This window comes from Homo sapiens, chromosome X (assembly GCF_000001405.40).
Source record: "Homo sapiens chromosome X, GRCh38.p14 Primary Assembly".
In the NCBI taxonomy this organism is placed as follows: Eukaryota; Metazoa; Chordata; class Mammalia; order Primates; family Hominidae; genus Homo; species Homo sapiens.
Window position 1 is genome coordinate 70,610,756 of NC_000023.11, and position 13,746 is coordinate 70,624,501.

At 39.0% G+C, this 13,746-nt stretch overlaps 1 protein-coding gene across 7 annotated transcripts in view; it reads right to left on the reverse strand.

Moving 5' to 3' along the window:
- TEX11 (testis expressed 11) overlaps window positions 1-13,746 on the reverse strand; it is a 397,485-nt gene that overhangs the window by 99,529 nt on the left and 284,210 nt on the right. For all 7 annotated transcript variants that reach the window (XM_017029649.1, XM_017029650.1, XM_017029651.2 and 4 more), the window contains one exon: window positions 13,195-13,251. In XM_017029649.1, the coding sequence (XP_016885138.1) occupies window positions 13,195-13,251 (57 nt within the window). The remainder of the gene's footprint in view (window positions 1-13,194; window positions 13,252-13,746) is intronic.

The following is a 13,746-nucleotide window of genomic DNA, read 5'->3' on the forward strand; positions in this document are numbered from 1 at the left end:
CTTCTACTTCTTCATAAACTCTCAGCAAAGGATTTCAATGACAAGGTTTTATATTGTAGGGTCATAACACTTGAGAGCAGCTGGTGATCTCTGTGATTTATAAGCTTTTTTGAAGGGGGGAACTAGAACCCTTATTTCAAATAAAGTTGTATAAAAGTCTAATATACAAGAAAAGATAAAAGATAAAAGTTGAGCTGCTGTGGTTGAACGAGGAGTGGGTGGAGGCTTGGAGTTTCACCTTCCTGGAAGTCCCTGATGCAGTGCCACAAAATTTCCACGGTTCTAAGGAATGCAGCTTAAAAAATAACTTATCTTGTACAGACACATCATTTTACAGATGAAGAAAAGAGTAGACCCAGGTTTCCTGACCCCTCTGTCAAGCTTCTTTAAGCATATAAAATTTAAAAGAGAACTTCCGGTTTCTAGTTATGCATGTAAGGAGCTTGGAAGTTGCCAGTTTCTCCTAACAAGTAAAACGCTGAACACACTGAAAAATTAGTAACTCTTCTTGGACCTATAAGAGACGAGAGGAAAAAGGGAAAACCACTGCCACAAAAATTGGAGAGAAGGGCGAAGATAGGGAGTCATAGCTTACTAGAGCAGAGATTCAAAAGTGGAAACTACCATGGGAACCAATGCTGGAGTAGGAAAACCTGAAGCGTAACTGACAAACCACTGGAGGCTCAGTGTGGACAAGTCTGAATTAAAAGACTCAGGAGGACCCAGTCATAAGGAGGCCTCCACAGTTTTGTGAGTTTTGCCTCCAGGAGCTTGGTTAGCTACTCAGTGAATATTGGAGCAAAATCTCTTTATGCATCTTGCAGGGGGCAGAGGAAACAAAACACTTTAAAACATGCCAGAGCACCCTGTTCTTAACAAGTCTTGCCCTCAAGAGAAACTGCTTAACCACAGCCTGACCTTCTGGGGTATATCAGAGCCTAACTGATCTCGGAGAAGGGAAATACTCAAATTCAGTCCACTCTAGCCATCCTGTCCCACTTAATGGGGGAGAAAAAAACCTGAGAAGCACTTGTGAAGTTCACAGTCCAGAGGTATAGGCTTGCTAAAAGACCAATCATAGGACTAAACAATGCTTCCCAGCCAGGTGCAGTGGCTCATGCCTGTAATCCCAGCATTTTTGATGCCAAGGCGGGAGGATTGCTTGAATCCAGGAGTTTGAGACTAGTCTGGGCAACACAGTGAGACCACATTTCTACAGAAATTTAAAAATCAGCCAGCTGTGGTTGCACATGCCTGCAGTTCCAGCTACTCTGGAGACTGAGGTGTGAGGATCACTTGGGCCTGGGTGGGGGTCAAGGCTATAGTGAGCCATGATCATGCCACTGCATTCCAGCCTGGGTGACAGAACGAGACACCATCTCAATAATAATAATAATAATAATAATGCTTCCCCTCTCCCCACAATTCACCACCACATTACTAAAGGCCTATTTATTAGGAAACTAATAGTTCCTTTTACCTGGTACATCATGCCCAGCTTTTAAGAAAAAATTAGAAGGCATACTAAAAGGCAGAAAATACAATTTGAAGACACAGAGCAAGCACTAGAACTAGACATAGCAGGAACGTTGGAATTATCAGACTGGGAATTTAAGACAACTATGATAATTGATCACGATTATGATAATTATTCTAAGGGCTCTAATGGATAAAGTGGACAGCATGCAAGGGCAGATCAGCAAAGTAATCAGAGAGATGGAAATCCTAAGAACCAAAAAGGAATGCTAGTGATCAAAAACACTGTAACAGAAATGAGAAAACCTTTGATGGGCTTATTAGTAGATTGAACAAAGCTGAGGAAAAAAAAAATCTCTGCCCTTGAGGGTATATAAACAGAAACCTCCCAAACTGAAAAGCAAAGAGAACAAAGACTGAAAAAAATAGAACAGAATATCCAAGGACTGTGAGACAACTACAAAAGGTGTAACATATGTGTAATGGGAATACCAGAAGGAGAAGAATAGGTAATGCAACAGAAAAAATACTTCAAATAATATGACTGAGAAGTTCCCCAAATTAATGTCATATATATCAAATCACAGATTCAGGAAGCTCAGAACATCAAACAGGACAAATGACAAAAAAAGACATCTAGGCATTTTATTTTCAAACTACAGGAAATAAAATATACAGACAAAATTCTGAAAAAAAGCCTGAGGAAAAAATACCTTACCTAAAGAGGAACAAAGATAAGAATTACATTCTACTTCTGCTCAGAAACCACACAAAAAAGAAGAGACTGAAGCAAATTATTTAAATGTTGAGAGAAAATCCCACTAACCCAGAATTTTGTACCTTGTGAAATTATACTTCAAAAGTGAAGGAAAATAAAGACTCTCAGACACAGGGGTGGAGCAAGATTATGGAACAGAAGGCCCACCCATCATCCTCCCCCACCGTAGGAACACCAAATTTAACCACTGTCTACATACAAAAAATGACTCTCATAAGAACCAAAAATCAGGTGAGCACTCACAGTATCTGGTTCCAACTTCATATTGTTGAAAGAGGAACTGAAGAGGGTAGGAAAGACAGTCTTTAATCACCAATGCCACCCCTTCCCTATCCCCCAGCAGCTGCCTGGTGCAGAGAAATCTGCGCACTTGAGAAAGAGAGAGAGAGTGCAGAGATTATCAGACTTTGCACTGAACTCAGTGCTGCCCTGTCACAGCAGGAAGGAAAACTGGGCTAAACACAGCCAACTCCCGCTAACAGAGGGAACATTTGGACCAGCTGTAGCAAGTGGGGAATCTCCCATCCCAGTCGTTGGAATCTGAATTCCAGCAAGCCTCGTCATCATGGGCTAAAGTGCTCTGGGGCTCTAAATAAACTTGAAAGACAGTCTAGGCCACAAGGACTGCAAGTCTTAGTGCTGAGCTGGGCTCAGAACCAATGGACTTGGGGGCACGCAACTTACTGAGCCACCAGCTGGGGTAGCTAAGGGGGTGCTTGTTCCACCCCTCCCCAACCCTGGGTAGCATAGCTTGTGGCTCCAAAGGAGACCTCTTCCTTCCGCTTGAAGAGAAGAGAGGGAAGAGAGGGAAGACTTTGTCTTGCATCTTGGATATCAGATCATCCACAGTAGGATAGGGCACTGGGCAGAGGCATGAGACCCCCATTCCAGGCTCTAGCTCCTGGATGACATTTTGATGCACACCCTGGGCCAGAAGAGAACCCATTGCCTTGAAGGGAAGGACCCAGTCCCGGAAGGATCCATCACCTGTTGACTGAAGAGCCCTTGGGCCATGAATAATCAGCAGTGATCCCAAGTAGTACACTGTAGGCCTTGGGTGAAACTCTGAGATGTGCTGGCTTCAGGTGAGATCCACCACATTCCCAGCTATGGCAGCTATGGTGAGAGACTCCTTCTGCTTGAGAAAAGCAGAGGGAAAAGTAAAGAGGACTTTGTCTTATGCCTTAGGTACCAGCTCAGCCACAGTAGGGTAGAGCATCAAGCGGGATCTCAGGATCCCCAATTCTAGGCCTTGGCTCTTGAGTGGTATTTCTGGACCTGCCTTGGGCCAGAGGGGAGCCCACTGCCCTGAAAGGTGAAATAAGGCCTGGCAGCATTTACCACAAGGTGACTGAAAAGTCCTCAGGCTTTAAGTGAACATCAGCGGTAGGCTGGCAGTACTCCCCATGGGCCTGTGGAAGTGGGAGGGAAGAGTGGGAAGGACTGTGTCTCATGGTTTGACAGCCAGCTCAGCCACAGTAGAAGAGAACATCTGAGCTACACTTCTAAGGTTTTTGACTGCCGTCCCTGGCTCCTGGACAGCTTCTCTGGACTCACCTGGGGCCTGGGGGAACTTGCTGCCCTGAAGAGGACACAGGACTAGCTGGTTTCACCACTTGCTGATTGCAGAGCCCTAAGGCCTTGAACCAACAACACAGGTGGTAGTCAGGTAGTGCTTACAGTGGGCCTTGGGTGAGAACCAGGGCTGTGTTGGCTTCAAGTCTGACCCAGTGCAGTTCTAGTGGTAATGGCCATAGGGGTGCTTGTATCAACATACCCCCAATGCCAGACAGTTCAGGAGAGAGTGAGAGAGAGAGACAGAGAAAGAGCGAGAGAGAGAGAGAGACTCCGTTTGTTTGGGGGAAAGTAAGGGAAGAGAACAAGAGTTTCTGCTTGGTAATCTAGAGAATTCTTCCGGACCTTATTCAAGACCACCAAGGTAGTACCTCTATGAGTCTCCAAGAACTATAGCATTACTGGGCTTGTGGTGTCCCCTAATGCAGATACAGCTTAGATCACAGCACCCAAGTACTTTTAAATATCACGAAAGCCCTCCCAAGAAGGACAGGTACAAATAAGCCCAGAATGCAAAGACTACAATAATACTAATTATTCAGTGCCCAGATACTGATGAACACCCAGAAGCATCAAGACCACCCAGGAAAACATGATGTCACCAAATGAACTAAATAAGACACCAGGGACCAGTTCTGGAGAAACAGAGGTATGTGACCATTCAGAAAGAGAATTCAAAATAGCTGTTTTGAGGAAATTCAAATTCAAAATAACAGAGAAGAAATTCAGAACTCTATCACATAAATTTAACAAAGAAATTAAAATAATTAAGAATCAAGCAGAAATTCTGGAGTTGAAAAATGCAATTGAAGAATATATCAGAGTTTCTAAATAGTAGAACTGATCAGGCAGAAGAAATAACTAGTTAGCTCAAAGACACACTATTTGAAAACACACGGTGAGAGGAAAAAAGAAAAAAGAATTTAAAAATGATGCACAGCTACAAGATCTAGAAGACAGTTTTAAAAGAGCAAATGTAAGAGTTAATGGCCTTGAAGAAGAGGCAGAGAAAGTGACATGGGTAGAAAGTTTCTTAAAGGGATAATAATAGAAAACTAGAGAAATCTAGAGAAAGATATCAATATCCAAGTACAAGAAAGTTACAGAACACCAAGTAGATTTAACCCAAAGAAGACTACCTCAAGACATTTAATTATCAAACTCTCAAAGGTTCAGGATAAAGAAAGAATCCTAAAAGCAACAGAAAAGAAACAACATACAATGGCGTTGCAATATGCTTGGCAGCAAACTTTTCCATGGAAACCTTACAACTGGGAGACAATGGCATGACGTATTCAAAGTGTTGAAGGAAAAAACTTTTACCCTAGAATAGTATTATCTGGCAAAAATATCCTTTAAACATGTAGGAGAAATAAAGGCTTTCCCAGACAAACAAAAGCTGAGGGATTTCGTCAACACCAGACCTGTCCTAAAAGAAATGTTAAAGGGAGTACTTTAATCAGAAATGAAAGGATGTTAATGAGCAAGAAAAAAGCATCTGAAGGTACAAAACTCACTAGTAATATATAAATACACAGAAAAAAACACAATATTATAGCACTGTAAGTACAGTGTATAAACTACCCTTAAATAGAAAAACTAAAAGTAAAAGATGAACCAACCAAAAATAATAAATATAACAACTTTTCAAGACATAGACAGTATAAGATATAAATAGAAACAACAAAAAGTTAAAAAGTGAGGGGAAGAAGTTAAGCTGTAGAATTTGTATTATTTTTCTTTTGCTTGTTAGTAGTTAATTTGTTTATGCAAGCAGTGTTAAGTCATCAGATTAAAATAATGGGTTAAAAGATATTATTTGCAAGCCTCATGATAACCTCAAATAAAAAACATAAAACAGATACACACACAAAAAAACAAAGAAGTTAAATCATACCACCAGAGAAAAATCACCTTCACTAAAAGGAAGACAGGACAGAAGGAAAGAAGGAAGAGATAGTCAGTACATCAAAGAGATATGTGCACTCCCATGTTTGTTGCAGCACTATTCACAATAGCCAAGATTCAGAAGCAACCCAAGTGTCCGTCAACAGATGAATGGATAAAGGAAATGTGGTACATATACACAATGGAGGACTATTCGGCCATAGAAAATAATTGAGATCCTGTCATTTTCAACAACTGGGATGGAACTGGAGGTCATTATGTTAAATGAAATAAGCCAGGCACAGAAAGACAAACTTCACATGTTCTCACTTATTTGTGGGAGCCAAAAATTAAAACAATTTAACTCATGGAGATAGAGAGTAGAACGATGGTTACCAGAGGCTGGGAAGGGTTGCGGGGGGTAGAAGGAAGTGAGGATGGTTAATGGGTACAAAGAAATAGTTAGGAAGAATGTATAAGAGCTAGTATTTTCTAGCACAACTAGGTGACTATAGTAAAAAGTAATTTAATTATACATTTAAAAACAACTAAAAGTGTATAATCAATAAATGTTTGAGGTGATGGATACCCCATGTACCCTGAAGTGATTATTACACATTGTATGCTTGTATCAAAATATCACATGTAGCCCATAAATATATACATCTACTATGTACCCAGAAAAAATTAACAATTAAATTAAAAGAAAGAAAACCTCTCAGACAAAGAAAGTTGAAGGAATTTGTTGCCAGTAGATTTCCTTGTAAGAAATGTTAAAAGAAGTTATTTAGAGAGAAGGAAAATGATATAGGTCAGAAACTCAGATCTACATAAAGATAGGAAAAGCATCAAAAGAAGAATAAGTGAAGGTTTTATATATATATATCATTATATATACATATATATCATTATATATTATATATAATACATATACACATATATGTATATACACATATATAATACATATATACACATATACAATACATATATATACATTATATATATATAATGAGATACTACTCAGCCATAAAAGGAATGAAACCATGTCTTTTGCAGAAGCATGGATAGAACTGGAGGCCATTATCTTAAGTGAAATAACTCAGAAGCAGAAAGTCAAATGCCACATCTCAAGTATAAGTGGGAGCTAAATAATGTGTATACATGGACACAGAAAGGGATAAAATAGACATTGGAGACTTGGAAGGATGGGAAGGATGGTGGAGGAAAATAATCCTGAAAGCTGAAATACCCATGATGAAGCCTTGGGTGATATTGGAAAAACACTCTAATTGGGAGGGCAGTGCCCAGAAAAACTCCATAATAAAATGGAAGTGGTTTATACATACATGATCATGCTACCTGTGAATGCAAGGAGGAGGTACTCATGAGCAGAGTCTCATTTCCCCTAGGACTGACTTTGGAAATGCATGAGGAGCTGCTGGATTCTATTGTCATTGGGACAGTGCCCTATAAACAGTTCTCAACTGATTGACAAAGAGCTGCTTAATTTATGCATGGCAGTTCCAAGGTGAACAAACAATATTCTGTTTGGAAGGCTACCATCAGATCAAAGAAGGTAAAAACAAATCATCTTAGCAGGCAGAACTGCATGCTGTTTTCCTAGCAGTGAAGGAAGAATTGAACAGTGGTAAAAGCCCCTGTGTTTGGGTTTTGACTGACTCATTGGCAGTGGCCAATGACCTGGCCATGTAGTCTTACAGAAGGGAAATGGAAAACTGGTCCATTAACAGGATGTTTGTATGGTGTATGACTCTATGGAAAATCACTATGGAAATCTGAGAGGTGCATTAATGTAGGACATGTTGATATCCATCAGAAGAATCCCCTTCCAGGTTTGGAAGGTGATGAGAATCAACAAGTGGATATCTCTGTGTGCTCCCTTGAGGCGGCCCCCTGGGTCCACGAAATTAGTGGGCATCTGGGGACTCAGCAAAAAGAAATGAGTTGAACCTAGACATATTCCTCTTGTAACCTCTGAAGTTGAACCTGGACATATTCCTCTTGTACCCTCTGAAGCACAAAATGCCAATAACTGTTCTGTTTTCCAACAAAAGAGACAGAGACTTAAGATGGCTATGTGGCAGATTCCTCACGGGGAAGGCCTTGAACACAGCTAGCAAGTCAGACTGATGCTGATAGCCCCAGGGTATGAGTTTCGACAGGAATAGACACTAACTCTGGATTGGCCTTTGCTTACGCAGTGGTAGATGCAAATGCTCAGAGTGTAATAAAAGAACTGGAACAGAATATACTGCACCAATTTGGGCTGCTGAGTCACATTTTCTCAGACCAAGAAACACACTTTACAACCCATAATGTCCAACAACGGGCAGAGATATATCCTCCTTGGAATAATAGTTAGAAAGGGAAGCCGGAACAAGCAATTGAAACATTGGTTGTCTAAAATGGGGGCAGACATAGGGATGAAGGACTGGCTTACATGCCTTCACAAGCTCACACTCAATATGGGGGGTGGGGCTAAGGAAGTGTCCCCACTAGATAGACTCCTCTGTTTTTCTGCTGAGTCTGAGGAAGAGGAGTTGGGGAAGGATGCTAGTATGACTGCAATTCTTCCCAAGGGTGTAGGACACTGGCATGATGACAATATTTTTTTCTTTCTTTCTTTCCTCCTCATATCACCTCAACTTTATGTTTCCTACCTGATGAAACATGAGCAAGACCATGGCTGCAACTACAAGTGTTGGAAACAGGGCAGATTCCTAAGCAAGAAACCTAACTATATTTTTAAATCTTTATGTCAGAATTCCTAAGGGCCTCTTGGGGGCAGGGTGTGTCTTTACCCTATCTAGCAAAATTGGGGTTAAGAGTAAATGCAGTTGTATTGCTTAATGGTCAAGATAGTCCACTAGTTCTGTATCTATATAACCCTACCTTATATAAATGGGAGTGGACTGAGGGGGAGGCATTTGCTAGATTAGTAGTGTTGCCTGTAATCTGGACCAGCACCTAATGTTCTTTCAAATGTGGAAAAGTTTGGTTATAAATAGAAAAAAGGAGGAATAGTAGATGAGAGTAAGAAATGAACAAATGAGTTATGTAGTAAGGGAAATCCAATATTACATCAGTACCTCAAAAGAGTCTCAAAGCAAAAGATGATATTGTCTCTTAGTTCAATTATACCAGATGCCTGAAAAGGTGAAGCCATATATTGTGGAGACCACTCCTGCTTTTGGAATCTGACCAAACAGAAGCCTGGAAACCTCAGTAGCCTTGCCCTGGGACCTGGGAGACAATTTCATGATATAATGATGGACTGGACAAATTATTAATGACTGAATGGGACTCCAGTAATGTGCCAGTATCTTTTTTTTTTTTTTTGAGACGGAGTCTCACTCTGTTGCCCAGAGTGCAGTGGCACAATCTCGGCTCACTGCAAGCTCTGCCTCCCGGGTTCATGCCATTCTCCTGCCTCAGCCTCCCGAGTAGCTGGGACTACAGCCTCCCGAGTAGCTGGGCACCTGCCACCACGCCCAGCTAATTTTTTGTATTTTTAGTAGAGATGGGGTTTCACTGTGTCAGCCAGGATGGTCTCAATCTCCTGACCTTGTGATCCGCCCGCCTCGGCCTCCCAAAGTGCTGGGATTACAGTTGTGAGCCACAATGCCCGGCCATGTGCCAGTGTCTTTTAACCGTTATGATCCTTTTGTTATATTTGGGATCTGTGGTCAAACGCCAGGGATCTTTATACTGTGGTATTATACTGTGGTATAATTAGAAGTGTATTTGGTCTGAGGTTGCTGGCAAGGGTCCTAAAATCCTTGGGAGAAAAGAATGGGCCAAAGACCTTAGCAGAAACCTTACCAAAGAAGATATACGATGACAAATACACACATAAAAAGACGCTCCAAATCATACATCATCAGAAAAATACAAAATAAAACAATGAGTTACCACTGCATACCTATCAGAATGGTCAAAATCTCAAACACTGACAACACCAAATGCTGGTGAGGGCACACAGCAACAGGGACTCTTATTCATTGCTGGCAGGAAGGAATGCAAAAGGGTACAGCCACTTTGGAAGACAGTCTACCGGTTTCTCACAAACCAAACATACATAGTCTTACCATATGACCCAGCAATCATGCTCCTCGGTATTAATATTTACCAAAGGAGCTAAAAAGTTACCTGCACATGAATGTTTACAGAAACTTTATTCACAATTGCCAAAACTTGGAAGAAATCAAGATGCCCTTCAGTAGGTGAATGGATAAATAAAATGTGATACGTTCATACAATACAATATCATTCAGTGCTATCAAGACACAAAAATACATGGAGGAACCTTAAATGCATATTACTAAGTGAAAGAAGCGAATGTGAAAAGGCTACATATTGTATGATTCCAACTGTATGACATTCTGGAAAAGACAAAACTATGGAGACAGTAAGGGGTTGATGAAGGAGGAATGAATAGGTGGAGCACAGAGAATTTTTAGGGCAGTGAAAATACTCTGTATGATATTGTAATGATACATACATGCCATTATACCTTTGTCCAAACCCATAGAATGTACAACATCAAGAGTGAACCCTAATATAAATTATGGACTTCAAATGATTATGATATGTCAATTTAGCTTCATCAATTGTAATAACTGTAGCACTCTGGCGGGGAATGGAGGAGGCTATGCATGTGGTGGGGAGAGGGGATGTATGGGAATCTCTGTGCCTTCCTGTTAGCTTTTCTGTGAACCTAAAATTTAACTAAAAAAATAAAATATTAGGGTCGGGCACGGTGGCTCACACCTGTAATCCCAGAACTTTGGGAGGCTGAGGTGGGAGGATCACGAGGTCAGGAGTTTGAGACTAGCCTGGCCAACATAGTGAAACCCCGTCTCTACTAAACATACAAAAATTAGCCGGGTGTGGTGGCGGATGCCTGTAGTCCCAGCTACTCAGGAGGCTGAGGCAGAAGAATCACTTGAAACCAGAAGGTGGAGTTTGCAGTGAGCCGAGATCACACCACTGCACTCCAGCCTGGGCGAAAGAGTGAAACTCGGTCTCAAAAAAAAAAAAAAAAAAAAAAAAAAAAAAAATATATATATATATATATATATATATAAATAAAAATAAAATATTAAACTTAAAAAATAAAATGAAATAAAAACTTAAAGCAAACAAAGGAATGAATACGAAAGTATTGGCAAACTCAACTAAGGAAGTTTACAGGAAGAAGGGTAGAACATACTATAAGACTGGCCTTATCAGTAGAGGTTTAACATATAAAGACTGTGGTCAGGAAAAGCAGCAGATTTTTCAGGGATAAATCTTAGAAGTCTGGTTTATATAAAGTAACTTCTTACAGTAAATTTATTAATTTGAATTTCAGCCAAGCTAAAGTTGATTTCTTCACTGCTTAATTCGGTGACTTCATATCAAATAATCTAGGAAGGGTCCATTAATAAAAATATACAGTACAAATAAGAATGAAGACATGCAAAGGAATGTATAATCTATTTAAGAGAAAAACTGCTTTTAAAAGATTTAGCATATGAGTTGTTAGTACTTAGGTAGATACTGCTCATTTATAACCACAGGAATTTTGGAACAGAAAAGGCCTATAAAAATTATCCAGTCCAGTTTTTAAAATTTTACAGATGAGGAAAATAAAGCTTAGAGAAGTTAAAGAAGTTGCCATTGCCTACAGTAAACCAAAAGTTATTGAAATAGCTGAACCTACAATTCAATTCTCTTGAGCCCTCTCATTGAATTAGGCACTTAAAATATTTTTTACAAGTTAGTCTAATCTATTTGTTAAATCAGGTTCTAACCTCTACCTGAAAACATTGCTAGAGGATGTTCTCTGTCACTGCATTTACTTGAAAACAATGAAGGTATATTTTAAAAAGTGTTTGTAATTTCTCATTAATTCAAACAGGATTCCCTCCCTTACCCCATTTCCCAATTGGTTTTAATGTGTGTGGTTTGACTGTATGCCACAATTATGAGAAATATGAAGCATCTTTAAGTCCAGTGCTGGAGATATTATAAATAACTAATATTCAGTCATTTAAATAAATCGAATGGCAATTATGTGTCAGATACTGCCCTAGGTTTCAGTGATACAAAGATAAATACAAATATAGTCCTAGCCCTAAAGGTACTCTTACAATCTAGTAGTTATCATGGTTTAGTCCTTTTTTAAAAAAGCTTCTTATTGGTGAAAACTTCAAAGATGTCCAAATGTTAACAGACAAGCATAATGAATCCTCATGTACCTATCACACAGCTTCAATAATTATTAACTCATCATCAATCTTATCTCCTTGATACCTCCACCCACTTCTTCCTCTCCCATATTATTTTGAAGCAAATTCCAGACATCACATTATTTCATCCATACATATTTCAAGATGTGTCTGTAAGAGATAAGCAATCTTTTAAAAAACCAACCACACTACAATTATCATGTCTAAAAGTTAATAATTTCTTAGTATCAGCAAATATTTGGTCATTATTCAAAATTCCAATTGCTTCATCTTTTGTTTGGTTTGTTTGAATTCCCTTCTAATGGATTTATGAAGCCTATAAAGAAAAGGCAAAACTTATAATATGCAATTGGGTAAAATTTGCATTATGAAAATGACAGTTATAAGTCATCTGTCCTATGTTACCTCAGTCAAAGATATATCCAAAAGAATTTATTTGAAAAAATACATTGCCTCCAGCTGCAAAAGTGAAGTAGAGGGAACTATTACAGAGTTCTTGTCTAAGCAGAGAATGCAGAGATGGGTGATATTTCTCTGAAAGTTATCCCTAATCAACACCCCGAGTAGAGTTTTCTTTCAAATAATCAGGAGGTAGTGAGATTTGTGAACGAAAAATTGGTGACCAAAGTCTTCAACGAATTGTTAAGTTTTAATATCTTATTCCAAAGATATTGTGCACAGAAATATATTTGAATACTCTCAGCAGACCTGATACAGAATCATAACCAACAAGCCATCCAGGTTATATGTTCTGTGGGAAAGTAAGAGATATGTCTATATTTGAGTCATCTGTTAAGAAAGGGGGAACAGATGCAATATCATAATTCTATCATAGATAACATTATTGAGGGCTTATTAAGTTCCTGACACTTCTAAATGTTTCACATGTATTAACTTATACTCTCGTTTCTCTGCAGATCACATAAGTCTTTTGCCTTTTAGATGTTTTAACTCATTGAGTCATCACAGCAACCCAATGGTGTAGGTATTATTATTCTTCCCACTTTACAGTTGGGGAAACTGAAGCCCAGAGACATTAAGAAACTTGCTGAAGGTTACACATCTGGTAAGCAGCAGAGCCAGGATATGAACCCAGGAAGACTGGCCCCAAAACCTGTATTGATCTTACCCACTACACTAAGTATCTCTGAATATATGATTTATATTGTAAGTTACTATAATTTGTCTAATGGGGAATACATCATTTTTGTTGAAATAACTCACTTATCTTCAGATTCCGGCATTTCAGCAATTTTTGGAAGAAGAAAACGAAGCAAACACCTGTATGACAAAGTAATATGGAAAGTGATTCTTAGGTTAGGAAGAAACATGTGTGAATGAATACATACCAAGTTACTAACCTTGATTACTCTGGGAGGGAGAAGTGAGAAAAGAGAGGGTAAAGGGGAGATTAATCTTATTTAATTTATATATATTTTATTGTTTTAACAGTTGCAATGAAAACATACCAATTTTATAATTTTGAAAGAGGAATTTAATAAAAGAGTTTTAAAACAAAAGCGTTGCTTATAACAAATTCTTAAATGGTTCCACAGTTTATACCATTGCTCAAAAACACCTGCTAGAACATCAGGTATGGTAAATCAGTCTTTATCTTTCTCTTTCTGTAGAGGAACTAGAACTGGCCTTTGGGTCTCAAACTGGGATCACTATTCTTTGAAGGGATCTGGCAGCATAATGACAAACTGACAAAATAAGGTAGTTGGTAAAGTTTTAAAACCTAAAAAGCTTTAAAAAATACTATCTCTCCTGAAT